At 40.4% G+C, this 20,029-nt stretch overlaps 1 protein-coding gene across 7 annotated transcripts in view; it reads left to right on the top strand.

Moving 5' to 3' along the window:
- Window positions 1-20,029, top strand: part of THSD4 (thrombospondin type 1 domain containing 4) — a 686,490-nt gene that overhangs the window by 312,443 nt on the left and 354,018 nt on the right. For 5 of the 7 annotated variants that reach the window (NM_001394532.1, NM_024817.3, XM_047433080.1 and 2 more), the window contains one exon: window positions 2,351-2,487. The exons of the other annotated variants lie outside the window; for them this stretch is intronic. In NM_001394532.1, coding sequence (NP_001381461.1) covers window positions 2,351-2,487 — 137 coding nt within the window. The remainder of the gene's footprint in view (window positions 1-2,350; window positions 2,488-20,029) is intronic. 7 annotated transcript variants of the gene reach the window in all.

Below are 20,029 nucleotides of genomic sequence, written 5' to 3' on the forward strand. Positions count from 1 at the left end.
AATGCACCTGGATAGTTCTAGCGCTTCAGAAAGTGAGGAGCTGGGGAGAGAGGGAATGGGGTCTTGGTAGATGAAATGAGAAAGCAAGTTGTAGGAGATGAATTTTGCCTCCAACTTGTCACTTCCTTTCTTAAGCCTGTTTTTTAATCTATCAAATGATGATTTCGTTTGAAATAAATCCCAGAGGTGATTCCATCTTGGTATTCTTTTATTTTTTCCCCCAAATCACCTCTTACATCTTTTGGGCAGCCAAGGAAAGAAACCAGGTCTCTTGACTTCTAAGATAGAGCTCAGAGTATCTAGACGATGCAGTCTTCCTGAACCATGTGGTCCCAGAGGCTCCATGTGATTTCCTGTTAGAGGTTTTCAGTGGCTTTGGAATAGAAGGCAGTTTATTGCTGTGACAGTCAGGCAGCCACACTGGGGAAATATGCTGTATCATGTAGTGTAGGAAAAAGTCAGTATTACCCAGTCAGGTAATCTGATTTTTAGACAGCCTGTTCTAGGCTGTCTATGGCTGAGCACAGCATTAGTCTTGTCTCCAAAACAGTTTTTTTTTTTTTGTTTTTTTTACATACAGTGTGTACTTATCTTGTCTGTTTCTTTTGGATATAGAAATATATCTTGCCTGAAATTTATTTTCATTCTTATTTTGGAAGCAACTAAATTGTTCTGAGATGTTCCTTGTAGCAGTAATTAATTTAGCATTTACTGAGCACCCTCTGTGTGCCAGGCTTGGTGTGAAGTGATAGAAATGTACAGAAAGACTCTGAGGTAGGGAAATATATCTAGCAGGAGGAGGGGAGAGAAAGACAAGGGGGAGAAAAGGCCGATATTCATTTATCCATCCCTTGTTTCATTCCTCAGAGATTTGTTTAGCATTTACTATGCGCCAAGCTCTGTGCTGGGTTCCTGGGATACAAAAGTGAATAAGACAGAGACATCCTGTATTCTCGCAAAACCACACTGCAATACAGCATGGTTAACCCTGAAATAGAGGAGGCCACATCAACCTGAGAGGGGGCAGAAGTAGAGGTGGGATCCAGATCCATGGAGGGCTTCCTGAGGAGGTGACCTGGAAATGCAAGCGAAGTACAAATGCAGGCCAGCCAAGTGAGGGAAGGAACAGTTAAGCAACGGCTAGAGAGAGGGAGTGCTTAGTTGTGTGTAGACTGTGTATTTAGGAATGGGATTTAAGGAAGAACAGGAGGAAATGAGGCTATAAAGGTAGGCGAGGTTCCGCTCTTGAAAGAGGTTTTATCCCTTGCTTAGGACTTTGAACTTCAACCTAGAGTGACAGAGAAGCCACTTAAATACCTCATAATGGAGGAATTATTACAGGAAGCTGCGGCCATTTAAAAAGGCATACAGATGATATAACTGCGTAGATATTAAGTTTAAAAAGCAGAATATGGCCAGGTGTGGTGGCTCATGCCTGTAATCCCAGCACTTTGGGAGGCCGAGGTGGGCGAATCACTTGAGGTCAGGAGTTCAAGACTGGCCTGGCCAACATGGTGAAACCCTGTCACTACTAAAAAATACACACACACACACACACAAAATTAGCTGGCTGTGTTGGCAGTTACCTGTAATCCCAGCTACTTGGGAGGCTGAGGCAGGAGAATCACTTGAACCCGGGAGGCGGAGGTTGCTGTGAGCCAAGATTGCACCACTGCGCTCCAGCCTGGGTTACAGAGTGAGACTTGTAAACATAAAAATTATGTGCTCACTGTGATTGCTGATATATGAAATATATTTAGGTTGGTGCAAAAGTAATTGTGCAGTTACTTTTGCACCAACGTAATTAATTATGACAATGGCAAAGCGTGGGAGGATGTCTAAAAGTAGAATCTGTTATTTGCATGGCGAGTCTTTGAGAATTCCTTTATAATATTCACTCAGCACTGTATCACTACTATATGCAAATAGATCAAGATACAATCCCTTCCCTCTATCATCAAATATGGGGAGAGCTGATAACTTTAATGCACTTTTAAAAAGTGTGTGATTATGAAATGTCTAGAATAGGCAGATCAATAGAGACAGAAAGTAGATTGGTGGTTGCCAAGATCTAGGGGGAGTGAGGAATTGAAATGACAGCTCACAGGCACAGGGCTTCTTTTTGAGCTGATGGAAATGTTCTGGAATTATATAATGGTTGCGGTTGGACACACAACCTTATGAATATACGAAGACTTATTGAACTGTATAGTTGGTTAAAATGCTTAATTTTGTGTTATACAAATTTTTCTCAATAAAAATTATAGGAAGAAAAAAGGTGCTGATTCCACAGAGATGATATTGCTTATACCTTATCTTTATTTTATTTTATTTCATTTTACTTTGGTAGTAAAAGGCAATCGCAAATGTGAGTTGAACTGCCAGGCAATGGGCTACCGCTTCTATGTACGGCAAGCTGAGAAAGTCATCGATGGCACCCCCTGTGACCAGAACGGCACGGCCATCTGTGTGTCTGGGCAGTGCAAGGTAAGTGCCCCCGAACTGGGGTGAATTCTTAAGGTGTTTGATCTGTGACTGCTGACTCCATTGTTTTCCAGGGAGAGACTAGGCTGCTAGCTCCCCCCAGCCCACGTCAGGGCCACTCAACCATGCGCTCTGGGAGGAGTGGGCTGAGATGGGGCTGCTTGGTCAGCCCTGACTGTGCTTTTGATCTTTGGGCGTCACCAGGTCCCACTCTAGCATTCCCATTATTAAGTGATTTATGTTGACACCACATGCTTCACAAGGGACACAGCAATCTTTGCGAGTTGGATCTGGAGCTCCTTCTTTGCCTGTGAAACGGAGGTTATGGAAAGGGCACTGCTGGTTTAATCAAGAATTGGTTGGCGTCATGAGGGTGGCATTTTAAGGGAATGGCATATTTTATCTTGCCTCTCCCCAGAAGGGGCAGGCTTCCAAAGGAAAGTTGTTTCATGCCTTTTATAGCAGAAGTTGTACTTTAAACAGGAAGTTTTCAACCTCCTTAGGCTTCTGAAGTCTGTTCCAGGAACACCCCGCCTGGCGTTCTGCAAACATTCTGGGCTTCAGAGAATCCTTGTGGGATGCTCAGTGTTGACAGAAAGCACCATTTGGTTAAAAATAGGCATCTTAGATGAAATGGCACAAATTCCGTAGCTACATTAATTTGCGCTTGGACTTCTACCCTCCTTTCATCTACGTATGTATTCATGGAGCTAAGATTTAGCAGGTAAATGACTCTGGAGCCCAAACGAAGAGTCTCTCTTAATTAGCACTCTATAGCTAGCTGGCAGACCGATTTTAATCACAGGAAGAGCTCTTTGGCTATGACACCTGGAAGTTCCTATTATAGTTTGAATATAACTTGCTACAGTGTTTAATATTAGGGATATTGAGGTGTTATTTGTGAGCACAACCTACCCCCCCACCAACAACATTTTGAATGAGGAGGTTTCAGATAGGATGCAAAATAACATAAAGCAGGATTGATATTCTCAGATTTTTAAAAAGTATATTTTTAATTATTATGAGTACATAATGGATGTATATATTTATGAGGTATATGTGATATTTTGATACAGACATACAGTGTGTAATGATCAAATCTGGGTAACTGGGGTATCCGTCACCTCAAGTTTTTAGCATTTCTTTGTATTAGGAACATTCCAGTGCTACTCTTTTATTTTATTTTATTTTACTTTATTTATTTTTTTGAGATGGAGTTTCACTCTTGTTGCCCAGGCTGGAGTGCAGTGGCACAATCTCAGCTCACTGCAACCTCTGCCTCCTAGGTTCAAGGGATTCTCCTGCCTCAACCTCCTGAGTAGCTGGGATTACAGGCTCACGCCACCATGCCCAACTAATTTTTTGTATTTTTAATACAGACGGGGTTTCACCATGTTGGCCAGGCTGGTCTTGAACCCCTGACCTCAAGTGATCCACCTGCCTTGGCCTCCTAAAGTGTTGGGTTTACAGGCGTGAGCCACCGCACCCAGCTTCTACTCTTTTAGTTTTCTTAAAATATACAATAAATTATTATTAGCTATAGTCACCCTATTGTGCTACCAAACACTTGATCTTATTCATTCTAACTGTATTTTTTTGCCCATTAACCATCCTCACTTTATAATCCCATCCCTACTACCCTTTCCAGTCTCTGGCAACCGGCATTTCACTCTCAGTCTTCAGGAGTTCAATTTTGGTTTTTTTAGCTCCCACATGTGAGTGAAAACGTGATATTTGTCTTTGTATGCCTGGCTTATTTCAGTTGACAGAATGTCCTTCAGTTCTATCCATGCTATTGCAAATGACAGGATTTTGTTCTCACATTTTGAATGCAAGTTAAGAAAGGAACAAGGTGTCACTTGATATCTGATGTGTATGAAGTATCTTTGGAAGAGCAAACCCTGAAAGAATTAGGATGCGGTACAGAAGAGGCAGGAAACATCATGGGAAACATCATAGCCTCCAGTTTTCTGCTCCTTTGGAAAAACCACTGGTTTTCACACATCCTCTCTGAGCTTCAGTGTCCTCAGAAAATACTTAAGGGCATTCTCTGAGAGTTTTGTGATCTCCAGCTTTAATGTTCCCTGCTTCTAAATGTTACTGAACTAAAATGATGGGCCTGATAGCAATCTAGCTTTATCTTTCAGATTCCAAAGCAACTGTTTCATTTCCTGAATACAGGTGCACACTGTTGAGGAATGGTGAATGTAATGGTAGAGTATAATGGTTACAAACCTGCCCTCCGAAGTCGGATTGCCTGGGTTCAAGTCATGCCTCTTCCACAGATTTACTGTGTGATTTTGCAAAAGTTACTTAAGCTCTCTGTGCTTCTGTACATCATCTAAAGAATGAGGAGGATGGTACCTACGTCCTGTGTTGCGGTGAAGAGTCATGACCGTATAACAGGGTTTGGCATTCAGTAAGCATACTGGCATTTATTAGTATCACTGCATATACCTACATATATACCATTGTACTTGGATTTTCTATGCAAAAGTGTTTGCCTTTTTTTGTCGATTATAGATTTGTCAGATGCACATGCTCTTTTGGGTCAGTGCTCTCACGCTATAGTGTGAAACACTGGGGGATTGCAGATTCTGATTCAGTAGGGCCTGGGGAAGGGCCTGGGAATCCGCTTTTCTAACAAACTTCCATGTGATATTGATGCTGCTGGTCCCTGGATCATATTTTGAGTAGCAAGGTTTTAAGGGACATTGATTAAAATATAGTTAACAAAGAGCCAGAAATATAAATATATGGTGGTAAGATGACTCGGAAGGAATATGAAATGTGGTCTCTTCACTGGGAGAGCACGTTTTCTTAGTATTTCATTAAATGTCTATTAGCTGATGATATAAAAGAAAAGCAAACACTTATAAGGACATGGGTATGGATTCTTACTAATTGATGAAAAACATTCAAACTTTACGGCAACACAGTTTGCAGATAATAATTGCTAAAAGCCTGAAACAGACATTTTCCAGGATGTGAGTATATTAATAGGGTTCTGATGTTACTAGGACTACTGGATACTACTTTGCATTTGTTCTCTGCATTTGCCTGAAATTCCCTCATTGAAGTTGTTGGAACCACTGACGGCTTCAGTTTAAATAATCAGAAGTACATTTGCTTCCCAGGCTGAACTTCTGTTTACTTTGCAGCTTTCAAAGGGTAAAGTGTCCTTTTCTAAATATTTGATTGGATGCCCAGAATTCAAATTGATTTCTCTACTTCTCTGACTTGTGGCTGAGAAAGCTGTCACTTGCAGACAGTTTTCCCTAAGATGTGCGTCTGCATCTGAAATAGTGACACAAAGCCTCTCCTGGCCACATAGAGTTGAAAGAAATAGCCAGGCTTGCAAGAAAAGTTAATGAAAGGTGACAAGCCTTACATAATAATATGAACTGAGTCTACAAAAGGGTCCTCATGAGAGGAGGGCACTGTCCTCACATCAAGCCAAGTAAAGGCCGCAGGCCCACCCATTGCTGGCTTGAATGCTCTGTTTCAGCTCAAGTTAAAGCCTATGTTTATCCAGTTCTGGAGCTCCTCTGTGGTTTATTTATTTTTTAAAAATTCTTAATTTGTCATTTTTGTGGGCACATAATATATATTTATAGAGTACATGAGATAATTTGATACAGGCAAACAATATATAATAATCACATCAGAGTAAATGGGGTATCCATCCCCTCAAGCATTTATCCTTTGTGTTACAAATGATCCAGTTATACTGAGTTATTTTAAAATGTACAATTACATTATTATTGACTGTAGTCACCCTGTTGTGCTATCAAATACTAGATATTATTTATTCTTTCTATTTTTTTGTACCCATTAACTATGCTCACCTCCCCTTTAACCCCCAACTACCCTTCCCAGCCTCTGGTAACCATCATTATCCTCTCTATCTCCATGAGTTCAATTGTTTTAATTTTTGGCTTCCACAAATAAGTGAGAACATGCCAAGTTTGTCTTTTTGTTTGTTTGTTTTTTTAAGACGGAGTCTTACTCTGTTGCCCAGGTTGAAGTGCAGTGCTGCAATCTTGGTTCACTGCAGCCCCCGCCTCCCAGGTTCAAGCCATTCTCCTGTCTCAGCCTCCTGAGTAGCTGGGATTACAGACATGTGCCAACACACCTGGCTAATTTTTGTATTTTTAGTAGAGACAGGGTTTCGTTGTGTTGGCCAGGCTGGTCTCGAACTCCTGACCTCAGGTAATCCAGCTGCCTTGGCCTCCCAAAGTGCTGGGATTACAGGTGTGAGCCACCTCGCCTGGCCCGAAGTTTGTCTTTTTGTGCCTGGTTTATTTCACTTAACATAATGACCTCCAGTTCCATCTATGCTGTTGCAAATGACAGGATCTCATTCTTCTTTGTGTCTAAATAGTACTTTATTTTGTATATGTACCACATTTTCTTTATACATTCATCTGTTAATGGACACTCAAGTTGATGCAAATCTTGGCTTTTGTGAATAGTGTTGCAGATATCTCTTCGATACACTGATTTCTTTTCTTTGGGGTATATGCCTACCAGTGAGACTGCTGGATCACAGGGTAGCTCTATTCTTACTTTTTTGAGGAACCTCCAAACTGTTCTCTATAGTGGTTGTACTAACTTACATTCCCACCTACAGTGTAAGAGGATTACTTTTACTCTACATCCTCACCATCATTTGTTATTGCCTCACTTTTAGTAAGTTATTCACTCATATTAGAACTGGGGTGAGACAATATCTCATTGTAGTTTGGATTTGCATTTCTCTAATGATCAGTGATGTTGAGTAGGTTTCTATATACCTCTTTTCCATTTGTATGTCTTCTTTTAAGAAATGTTTATTGAAATCGCTTGCCCATTTTATTTATTTTATTTTGTTTCATTTTATTTTATTTTATTTTGTTTTGTTTTGTTTTGTTTTGTTTTGTTTTGTTTTATTTTATTTTATTTTATTTTATTTTCGAGATGGAGTCTCACTCTATTGCCCAGGCTGGAGTGCAGTGGTGCAATCTTGGCTCACTGCAAGCTCCACCTCCTGGGTTCACACCATTCTCCTGCCTCAGCCTCCCAAGTAGCTGGGACTACAGGCGCCCGCCACCACACCCAGCTAATTTTTTTGTATTTTTAATAGAGTCGGGGTTTCACCATGTTAGCCAGGATGGTCTTGATCTCCTGACCTCATGATCCGCCTGCCTCAGCCTCCCAAAGTGCTGGGATTACAGGCATGAGCCACTGCACCTGGCCCTGCCCATTTTAAAATCAGATTATTAGATATTTTTCCTATAGAGTTGTTTGAGCTACTATATATTTTGGTTATTAATCCCTTGTCAGATGGGTAGTTTGCAAATATTTTCTCCCATTCTGTGGGTTGTCTCTTCACTTTGTTGATTATTTTCTTTGCTGTGCAGAAACTTTTTAACTTGATGTGGTCTGATTTGTCCATTTTTGCTTTGGTTGCCTGTGTTTGTGGGGTATTACTCAAGAAATCTCTGCCCAGTCCTATGTCCCAGAGAGTTCCCCCAATGTTTTCTTGTAGTAGTTTCATAGTTTGAGGTCTTAGATTTAAGTGTTTAATCCATTTTGGTTTGATTTTTGCATATGGTGAGAGATAGGAGTTTAGTTTCATTCTTCTGCATATGGATTTCCAGTTTTCCCAGCACCATTTTTTTTGAGGAGACTGTCCTTTTTCCAATGTATGCTCTTGACCCCTTTAATGAAAATGAGTTCACTGTAGATGTGTGGATTTATTTCTAGGTTCTCTATTCTGTTCCATTGGTCTATATGTCTCTTTTTATGCCAGTACCATGCTGTTTTGGTTACTATTGCTCTGTAGTGTGATTTGAAATCAAGTAATGTAATTCCTCCAGTTTTCTTCCTTTTGCTCAGGATTGCTTTGGCTCTTCTTAATCTTTTGTGATTCCATATAAATTTTAAAATTGTGTTTTTCTATTTCCGTGAAGAATTTCATTGGTATTTTGATAAGGATTACATTAAATCTGTAATTCGCTTTGGTTTTATGGACATTTTAGCAATATTAATTCTTCCAATCCAGGAACACAGAATATCTTTCTATTCCTTTGTGTCCTCTTCAACTTCTTTCATCCATGTTTTATAGTTTTCATTGTAGAGATCTTTTACTTCTTTGGTTAATTCCTAGGTATTTTATTTTATTTGTAGCTATAGTAAATGGGATTAGTTTTTTGATTTCTTTTTCAGATTGTTTACTATTGGCATATAGAAATAATGTATATTTGCTGTTCCCATATAGAAATGTTACTGTTTTTTGTATGTCGATTTTGTATTTTGCAACTTTACTGAATTTATCAATTCTAATCATTTTTGGTGGAGTCTTTAGTGTTTTCCAAATATAAAATTTTATCATCTGCAAACAAGGGTAATTTGGCTTCGTCCTTTCCAATTTGGATGCCCTTTATTTCTTTCTCTTGTCTGATTATTCTAGCTAGGACTTCCAGTACTACATTGAATAACAGTAGTGAAAGTGAGCATCCTTGTCTTGTTCCAGATCTTAGAGGAAAGGCTTTTGGTTTTTCTCTATTCAGTATGAAACTGGCTGTGGGTCTGTCATATATGACTTAATTATGTTAAGGCATGTTCCTTCTATACCCAACTTTTTGAGGGTTTTTATCATGAAGGGATGTTGAATTTTATCAAATGCTTTTATTGACATCAATTGAAAGGTCATATGGTTTTTGTCCTTCATTCTGTTGCTATGATATATCACATTAATTGATTTGCCTATGTTGAATCATCCTTGCATCCCTGGGATAAATCCCACTTGGTCCTGATGAATGATATTTTTATTGTGTTGTTGAATTTAGTTTGCTAGTTTTTTTCTGAAGGATTTTTACATCATGCATTTGGAAGTATTCCCTCCTCCTTTATTTTTTTAGAATAGTTTGAATAGGATTGGTGTATTAAATCTTCTTTAAATGTATGGTAAAATTCAGCAGTGAGGCTATTGGGTCCCAATCTTCTTTAGTGGGAGACTTTTTATTACTGTTTCTATCTCATTACTTGTTAATTGGTCTGTTCAAGTATTGGATTTCTTCATGGTTTAATCTTGATAGGTTGTATGTATCTAGGAATGTTATTCATTTATTCTACATTTTCCGGTTTATTGACATATAGTTGCTTATAGTAGTCACTGTTGATCCTTTGAATTTCTGTGGTATCAGTTGTTATGTCTCCTTTTTTAGCTCTGATTTTATTTATTTGAGTCTTCTCTCTTTCTTAGTCTGGGTAAAGGTTTGTCCATTTTATCTTTTCAAAAACCAACTTATCATTTTATTGACCTTTTGTATTGTTTTCTTCATTTCAATTTCATTTATTTCTGCTCTGATCTTTATTATTTCTTTTCTTTTCTTTTCTTTTTCTTTTTCTTTTTTTTTAGACAGTGTTGCCCTGTTGCTGAGGCTAGAGTACAGGGGCATGATCACAGCTCACTGCAGCCTTGACCTCCAGGATCAAGCAGTTCCCCCAGCTCAGCCTCCTGGGTAGCTGGAATAACAGGTGCACGCCACCACATCTGACTAATTTTTAAATTTTTGTAGAGATGGGATCTCGCTATGATGCCTAGGCTGGTCTTGAACTCCTAGGCTCAAGCACTTCTCCTGCCTTGGCCTCCCAAAGTGCTGGGATATAGGCATGAGCACCATGCCTGGTCTATTATTTATCTTTTACTAATTTTGGGGTTTTTTCTTGTATTTCTAGTTCTTTAAGATGCATCAATCGGTTGTTTGTTTGAAGTTTTTCTACTTTTTTGATGTAGGTGCTTATAAGTATAAACATCCCTCTTAGTACTGCTTTCAGTGTATCCCATAGATTTTGGTATGCTGTGTTTCCATGATCATTTGTTTCCAGAAATTTTGCAGTTTTCTTCTTAATTTCTTCATTGACCCACTAATCATTCAGGAGCAAATTGTTTAATTTCCATGAGTTTGTATAGTTTCCAAAATTCCTCTTGTTATTATTTTCTGGTTTTATTCCATTGTGGTCAGAGGACACACTTGATGTTATTTCCATGTTTTTGAATGTTTTAGGACTTGTTTGGTGGCCTAACATATGGTCTATCCTTAAGAATGATGCATGTGCTGAGGAAAAGGATGTGTATTCTGCAGCTGTTGGATGAAATGTTCTGTAAATATCTATTAGATCCATTTGGTCTGCAGTATAGATTAAGTTTGATGTTTCTTTGCTGATTTTCTGTCTGGATGATCTGTCCAATGCTGAAAGTGTGGTGTTGAAGTGTCCAGCTGTTAATGTATTGGCATCTGTCTCTTTTTTTTAGTTTTAGTACTATTTGCTTTATATATCTGGGTACTCCAGTGTTGGGTGCATATATATTTACAGTTGTTAAATCCTCTTGCTGAATTGACTCTTTTATCAAATAATGACATTCTTTGTCTCTTTTTATAGTTTTTGCGTTGAAATTTAGTTTGTCTAAGTATAGCTACTCCTGTTCATTTTTGGTTTCCGTTTGCATAGAATATCTTTGTTCATCCCTTTATTTTCAGTCTATGTGTGTCTTTATATGTGAAGTGTGTTTCTTGTAGGAAACAGATGTATGGGTCTTTTTTTTTTAATCCATTCAGCCACTCTATGTCTTTTGATTTGTGAGTTTTGTCCATTTCCATTCAATGTTATTATTGATAGTTAATGACTTATTTCTGCCATTTGTTATTCGTTTTCTGATTGTTTTGTAGTCTTCTCTTCTTTCCTTCCTTCCTGTCTTCCTTTTAGTGAGGGTGATTTTCTCTGGTAGTATGTTTTAATTTCTTGAGTTTTGCTTTTTGTATATCTGTTCTATGTTTTTTGGTTTGGTTACCATGAGGCTTGCAAATAATACAGTTCATTATTTTAAACTGATTATCACTTAACATTTATTGCAATTAACAAACAAAATAACAAGCAAAGAGAAACCAATAAAATTTCACACTTCATCTCCTTGCTTTTTAACATTTTGTTGTTTCTATTTATATCTTATTGTACTGTCTGTGTCTTGAACAGTTGTTGTAGTTATTATTTTTGATAGGTTCATCTTTTAGTCTTTCTACTTAAGGTAAGAGTGGTGGCCAGGTGCAGTGGCTCACACCTGTAATCCTAGCACTTTGGGATCACTTGTGGTCAGTTCAAGACCAGCCTGGTCAACATGGTGAAACCCCATCTCTACTAAAAATATAAAAATTACTTGGTTGTGGTGACATGCACCTATAATTCTAGCTACTCAGGCATGAAAACTGCCTGAGTTCAGGAGGCAGAAGTTGTAGTGAGCCAAGATGGTACCACTGCACTCCAGCCTGGGTGATGGAGTGAGACTCCGTCTCAAAAAAAAAAAAAAAAAAAAAAAAAAAAAAGGAGTAGTTTACACACCACAATTAGTGTATAATATTCTGTGTTTTTCTGTGTACTTACTATTACCAGTGAGTTTTGTACCTTCAACTGATTTCTTATTGCTCATTAACATCATTTTCTTTCTAGTCTCTTTCTACTCCCTTTAGTATTTCTTGTAGGATAGGGCTTGTGTTGATAAAATCCCTTAGCTTTTGTTTGTCTGGGTAAGTCTTTATTTCTCCATCATATTTGAAGGGTGTTTTCGCCAGATATACTATTCTATGGTAAAAGTGTCATTCCTTTAGCACTTTAAATATGTGATGCCACTCTCTCCTGGCCTGTAAGGTTTCCACTGAAATATCTGCTGCCAGATGTAATGGCGCTTCATTGTATGTTATTTATTTCTTTTCTCTTGCTGCTTTTAGGAGCCTTTCTTTTGCTTTGACCTTTGAGAGTTTGATTATTAAATGTCTTGATTAGTGTCATTTGGGTTATATTGTACTTGGTCTTTTATACCCTTCTTGTACTTAAATATTGATATTTTTCCCAGGTTTGGGGAGTTCTCTGTTATTATCCCTTTGAATAAACATTCTACCCCATCTGTCCTGTACTTACTCTGGAAGGCCAACAACTCTTAGATTTGCACTTCGGAGGCTGTTTTCTAGATTTTGTAGGCATGCCTTATTCCTTTTTACTTTTTTTCTTTTGTCTCCTCTTGTGTATTTTCAAATAACTTGTCTTCAGGCTTACTGATTCTTCTTTCTGCCTGATCAGTTCTGCTATTAAGAGACTCTGATGTATTCTTCAGTATGTCAGTTAACTTTTTCAGCTCTAGAAATTCTGCTTGATTCTTTGTTAAATGTATCTGATAGATTTCTGAATTCCTTCTCTGTGTTGTCCTGAATTCTGCTGAGTTTCCTCAAGACAGCTATTTTGAATTTCCTGACTGAAAGGTTACATATCTCTTGTTTTTTCAGGATTGGTCCCTGATGCCTTATTTAGTTTGTTTGGTGAGGTCATGTTTTCCTGGATGGTCTTGATGCTTGTGGATGTTCACTGGGGTCTTGATAGTTCAGAGTTAGGTATTTATTGTAGTCTTCACAGTCTGGGTTTGCTTGTACACAGTCTGGGTTTGTTTGTACTCGTCCTTCTTTAGAAGGCTTTCTGGATATTTGCAGGGACTTGGGTGTTGTGATCTAAGTCTTTGGTCACTGCAGACGTATTTGCATTAGGGGACACCTTAAGCCCAGTAATGCTGTGGCTCTTGCAGACTCATAGAGGTGCCACCTTGGTGGTCTTAATATAAGTTCCAGAAGGATTCCCTGGATTACCAGGTAGAGACTGTTGTTGTCTCCCCTTACTTTCTCCTACAAGAATGGAGTCTCTCTCTGTGATAAGCTGCCTGGAATCAGGGAAGGGGTGACATGAGCACCCCTGTGGCCACCACCACTGGGACTGCGCTGGGTCAGACCTGAAGGCAGCACAACACTGGGTCTTGCCCAAGGCCTGCCATAGCCACTGCCTGGCTACTGCTTACATTCACTCAAGGCCCTAGAGCCTACAATCAGTAGGTGGCAAAGCCAGCCAGGCTTGTGTCCTTCCCTTTAGGGTGGCAAATTCCTTCCAGCCCTGGGCTGGTCCAGAAATACCATTCGGGAGCCAGGGCCTGGAGTCAGAAACCTAGGAATCAACTGTTGCTCTATTCTACTGCAGCTTAGCTGGCACCCAAGCCAGAAGACAAAGTTCTTCCCACTCTTCCTTCCCCTTTCTGCAAGCAGAGGAGTCTGTCCCCGTGGCCACCACCTCCACAGGCCCATGGAGAGCACTGCCAGGCTGTCGCTGATGTTCACTCGAGGACCAACTGGTCTGTAGTCAGCTTGTGGTGAATGCTGCCAGACCTGGGACCCACCCTTTAGAGCAGTTGGCTCCCCTCTGGCCCAGGGCAGGTGCAGAAATCCTGTCCAAGTCCCAAGGCCTAAAATTAGGGACTCCAAGAGCCCACTTGGTACTGTACTCCACTATGGCCAAACTGGTATCTAAGCTACAAGACAAAGTCCCCTTTACTCTTCCCTCTGCTTTTCTCAAGCAGAAGGAGTTTCTGTCCATAGCCACCACAGCTGGGAGTGCGCTCAGTCACAGCTTGAAGCTAGCAGATCTCAGAGTCTTACCCAAGGCCCATGACATGTACTACCTGGTTACTGCTGCTGATTATTCAGGGCCCAAAGGCTCTTTAGTCAGCAGGTGATGAATCCTGCCAGGACTGGGTCCTTCCCTTCAAGGCAGCAGGTTCCCTTCTGGCCCAGGGTATGTCTAGAAATGTCTTCTGGGAACTACGGCCTGGAATGGGGGCCTCAGGACTTACCTGCTGCCCTATCCTGTGGTGGATGAGACAAAGACCTGTTTCCTCTTCCCTCTCCTTTCCTCAAGTGGAAGGAAGGAGTTTCTCCCATAGAGGCAAGCTGCACTGCCTGGGGTTGGAGGAGGCGGAGTGTAAACACTCCTTTGACCAACCTGGCTGGTGTCTCACTAGGTTTCGTGCCCCCCAAGTCCACTAGCTCCAAGCCTAACATAGCACCAGAACATTCCCAGCGATTACACGGCTTGTGGCCTAGACTGCCTTTCAGGTACATTTAGGACCCCAGAGTACATTAGCCCACCGTGGCAAGCCTTGCCATAACTCAAGTTCCAACCACTGGGATGGATGAGTGCCCTTTGAACTAGGCCTAGTCTCAATGCTCCCTCCATGGCAACAGCTGGGTTCTGCCTGGTGTTGCTTTCCACTGTGACAGGGCAGCACTGAGTTCCAATACAAAGTCCCACATCACTGTGCTCTCCCTCCCAAAAGCGCTCCGACTCTCTGCACCCCATGGCTGCTGCTGGGGAATAGGAGAGGATTGGTGTCAGTGATTCAAGACTGTCTTTCCTACCCTCTTTAGTGCCCCTTTCAGTGATCCTAAGTTAAAACCAGGTTATGTGATCGCCCACCTGATTTTTGGCTCATATGAAGGTGCTTTTTTTAATAAATGGTTGTTAAATTTGGCGTTCCTGTGTGGAGGATGATGATGAAGGCTACTATTCAGCCATCTTGCTCTGCTTCTCCTCTGCACTTTAGACCCGAGAGCTGAAATAAGGACAAGAAGAATGTGATGTCCTAGGTCTACCTTGGGGAGGGTTGGGGAACAGAGAAAATTGGGGTTGATGTCTACTCCCTTGGTGCAGGGTGATACTCCATTTTTTGACAGGGACTGGAAGGAGTCTAAATGTCGGCTTCGGGCTAATTACTGCATATTGAAAGGCCTCGAAGGGAAAGGGCAAGTAGAGCTCTCATTCTGTCATCTCCAAAAACGAGAGGATGTATTGGAAGCCTGCAGAGATTCTCCCTCCCTCACCCCAACCCCTTTCTCCAGACATCAAAAACGAATATCTGGCCAGTCTTCAGAGAGGTCTCAGAGACACTCTGGCCCTCCCCAGTCATTACTGTCATTTATGCAAGCGAAATATCACTTAGGTCTAATTAACAGAGAGCACGATTATAATTTCTATTATTAAACATCACATTAACCACGCTATGATTTAGTTTTACTTGATCTCAGCTTTAAACTCTGTTTTTAAGTGTTCCAAAATTTTATAGTTTGGGGGTGTATGTATTATTTTTGCTCCCAACTTAATAAAAATAGATGAAACTTTGCCTTGAAGGTATAGCAGGCATTTGAAAGAACAGGGTCATGTGGATAAGGCACTAGGAAAAAAGAAACCAAAACTAGCTCCCTGGAGACCAACCTTTCAGAAATCTCAGGCTTCCAGACTTTAATGATCCTGAGTCAGAATGACCCCAAGGCCTACTCCCATCCCCCCGAAAAAAGTGTTTGGTTGAGAACGAACAGAACTTGAGTAGGTGCCTTGCAAAAAAAAATAGCTGCTTTGAAATCATAGGGGAGGAAGGTGTTGAAGCTGATGCAAGCCAGCAAGGAGCCATTTCTGAGAGTTTACCATGTGCTGTGTCCTTTACACAAAAGTGATTTTGTTCATTTATCTTTACAGTGACACAGTCAGAGAGGTATTATTAATCCCCATTTTACAGAGGGCTATCCTGAAGATGAAGTTAATTGTACACAGTAAATGCTACATAGGGTTTATTATTAATATCGGCTTTTTAGGCTGAATTGTTAATCAGAATAGAAAGAGTTGTTTATATGTGTTGGGAAAAAAATTTTCTAAGTCTTTTCCCTCTTCTGAGTTTATTTTTCTCACCTCCTCTTTCCAAATGACCATCTTTTCAAAACACAAATCAGGATGAACCTCTCTTTTGACTAAATTCCACCTGCAGCTCCACAGCGCCTATGGAATAAAGTCCCAACCCTTCATCGTCTGCCCCCTGTCAGGCCTCCTGGCTGCCAGTGCCAGCCAGATGGGAATGTGTCAGTCCCTAACACTGCAGGCCTACTGGTTGGTGCTTTCATGGGAATGTATGTGCTGTCCCGTCAGTCTGGAGTGCCTTGCTGTGTCCAGTCTTGCTTTAGCAAAAAGCCTACCATTTGAATGGGTGTTTGAAATAAATGTGTAAATGAAAGAAGGTACTTGGTACTCAATATGTTGAATTTCAGCAAATGAAGTTAATCTTGAACTCATCACAGAGTTTTCTCATTTGGGACCTGGGATAGGCAGTTGAGTGCAGATGAAACAAGGAGATGAAGCCCCCTTGGCCAAATACCCAGAACACAAGGCCTTGAAGGTCAGGGAGAATTCTTGGCACCCTCCCAAGCCCCTGTCAGCCTCATCTTGTTTTTTGGTTGCTTACTCTGAATTTCTCGAGTCCTTGCAGAGCTGATGGCAGAGGAACCTAAGAAAGTGTGAGTGCATGCTCCCATGGTGCCTTCTGGTGAAGGGAAAGAAGCCGCCTTCTGGCTCCCGAACTCCTCCCTTATATCCTCTGCACAACCTCTGGTCAGTCATCGCCCCACTGTAGGGCGTTTCCTGCGGCTCTGCCATCCACTCACACTCAGTGTGGGCTTTGACACCTCTTCCCCCAGCTGGGACACCACTTGGCTTCCATCGGGACACATTGGCAGACAGTTTCATATTTATTCAATAAATTAAAGCAAGGTAACTGTTTCCAAATGTTGAGGGATAAGCTGTAAACCAATGTGTTGCCCTGATGGGGAAGGATGACATAATGAATGTGTGCATTTGTAAGTATAGCTGTGTGTGTGTGTGTGTGTGTGTGTGTGTGTGTGTGTGTGTTCAGGTGCTGAATGTCCATTTCCCTCCTTTATATATACACTATTGTGCTCTGCTGAACCACACAAGTAGACCCTGCTCATTTTTCTGCCCTTTTGCCCTACGTTGCTTTTTTACTGGCTTCACTTTGTGGGCTTTGCTTAGAGTTTATATTTTTAGTCCAATGAAACCAAGAGAATAATTGGATTGGGTAAATTGTTCTTCTCTTTTCCAAGATATTTGCATGATTTCACCCTTGAAAGAGGGTAGATAGCTTCTAATTTGCCCAAATTCCAACTTAATGTGACTCTTTGTGGACTCTCTCTCTTATAAACACCCCAAGCAAACTCTAATCTAAAAGTACTTTCTGCTTGTGACTATTAAAAATTTATCATATTATGTTATAGTTATTTTGACATGTGTCTTAGCTCCTAAAGGAGAGATTGAGTATTATATGTATCTGTATCCTCAGTGCTTAACAGATTAAAATTATTCAGTAAATGTTTTTTAAATATATACAAGAATGGAACAAAAGAACGAGGTAGAAATTGGTTATGAAACCTCCTTTCCTAGAAATAATCATGAATAGGATTAACTAAGAAGTAAACTTTCGGGGCACTTGATCTGTTCTTAGGACCTCTTGAAACCTTAAACTGAAACCTAACATAAAACTGATGAAATTTATTTTGTTACATGTAGTTTAGAAAAATTATCTATTATTTTTCTTATTTTAATCATTAGAACAACTACCCAACATAAAAACCCTGTTTAGATTTCTTTATATATATTAAATAATTATTAATCAACCTAAATTATACACATAATTATTAACAAATAATCATAACTGCTCACTGCCATACACTGGGCAAGGCACTGGGCAAGGCACTGGGATGAAACAGTGGAAAAGATGAACACAGTTTCTACTCAAATTGAGCTTAAAACCTAGTGGGAAAAGTAATACAAAGTCAGTTAATAAGCAAAAGAACTGATGAATGCTATGAAGCATTCAGATGCATTCAACAAATATTATGATGAATGCTGTTGATGAACGCTGTGAAGTTAACTGGGTAGTGAAAAATGGTGGGGGGCACACATTAAATGGAATGTTAGGTGAAGGTCTCCAGGGAGGGCAGGAGTCCAGAAAACAGGTGAAGGCAATGTTACTGGCCTCCCAGACCTTGGAGATTGGAGAAAGTGTATGCCAAGCCTCTAGCCCAGGACCCAGCACATACGAGATACTCAGGATAGAAGTTGAGGTGACCATTTTGTGCTTGCACCCTGCTCTCTGCCCTGAGTTAATCTGGTCTACTTCTGGTGGTGCCATTCTTAGTTCCTCCAAGGTATGCACACTTCTTTCTGAACACATGCTGGCTTCAGTAATGGGAAACCCTCCATTAAGTCATTCCCCAGGCCCAAAAGACTTCCCTGGAAATTGGATAATATAGTGGGTCAAGAAGAGGCTTTGGTCAATCAGGATGTCCAACATTAAAACAGATAAGAGAGAGGTTGTTCAGGTAAAATTGGGGTGGGATGTCCAGAGCATCCAACCTGGTCCTCTTACCCAAGAGACAGAAGAGAGGTTAGGATCCCCTCCCCTAGCTTTATGAAAGAATAGGTAGCATTCCCCCAAAGGGAACTTGAAGTGTTCAGTCTAAATTGGCAGGGGTGGTGACTGACACTTGTAACTGAGAAATGAGGGGAAACTTCAGCAGAGAAAAGTCCTCTGGGCCAGATAGTCCACTTCTACCCCAACCCACCACCATCCCTGACCCTAAGCACAGTCTAGAAGCACTGTCTAAGTAGGATCTGTTATGGTATATATACAGAGCTATGCAATACTCATTGTATGCAAAGTCACTTCTACAGGTACTGTTCCACAAGGCACATAATAAAACTTTAGAAAACTGTGCTGTATGGGGAAACTCCATGCTGTCTCTGTTCAGACTAATAGGGCCAAGGAAGCAGTAGCCCCCTTTCCTTTTGGCCCCTGTGCACATCCTTGCAGAATCAGCTCATATTATTCACCAGTTATATTGACATAGGCTCAGACTTTTTAATTATTATTACGATTTTTTAACATAGGCTGCTTAGCCTAATGATGACTCAAGTAGGACCTGGACATCTGAGTGAAGATGTGAAGGAAACATTCGTCACCTGAACACCATATTTGGACATCTCATTTAAATTCCTGGCAAAATTCAGGTCAAACCAAGTAGTTAGAAGCACCACTAATGTAATAGAAAAGACTTAGAAAAATAGGTTAAAATGGGTTTTTGAGGACAAAAGTGTCAGATGAAAACACTTGAATTCTTTGTTTCATATTTTTAATAGATACTACATTTATATGACTCAAACATCAAAACTACTCAGTTCCCCAGGGCCCCAACAGGAAATAACCAGTGGTTGATAATTTCTTTTTTAATGCAGATATTTTTCTACATCTACAAGCCAATTCATATTATCTTCCCCCTCTTTTTGACACATACAGGAGCGTTTTACAGACACTGCTCTTCCCTTGCTTGTCTTCCTTAGCATGTGTTAGAGAGCTTTCTGTTTCAATATCTAGAGAACATGCTCATTCATTTTACATTTGTATGGTATCGCACACTAGGAACAACCATCATTTATCTAACTGTGATGTACATGTTGGTTGTTTCCAGTCTTTTACCATTACCAGTCATGCTGCTGTAGGGGCCAAGCTTCCCACTTCCTCCTCTGAAGGTTCACTGACAAAAGGCAGGTTAAAAGGAGAAAAGGCATACGACATTTATTGTAAAATGCGTGACACAGGAAAATCGGAGGAGAATCTGACAGCCCAGTAGCTCAATGGGATACAGATGTTTATATACCCTTCTCCATAGAGGAAAGAGATGGGAATATGTGGCAATTTGAGGATAGTAAACGATTGTTAGGGGGAAATTAATGGACTTGGAAAATACACAGTGGCCTGGGACAAAGTCTGTTGGGCCCACAGAGCAGACAA

This window comes from Homo sapiens, chromosome 15, assembly GCF_000001405.40.
Source record: "Homo sapiens chromosome 15, GRCh38.p14 Primary Assembly".
NCBI lineage: Eukaryota > Metazoa > Chordata > Mammalia > Primates > Hominidae > Homo > Homo sapiens.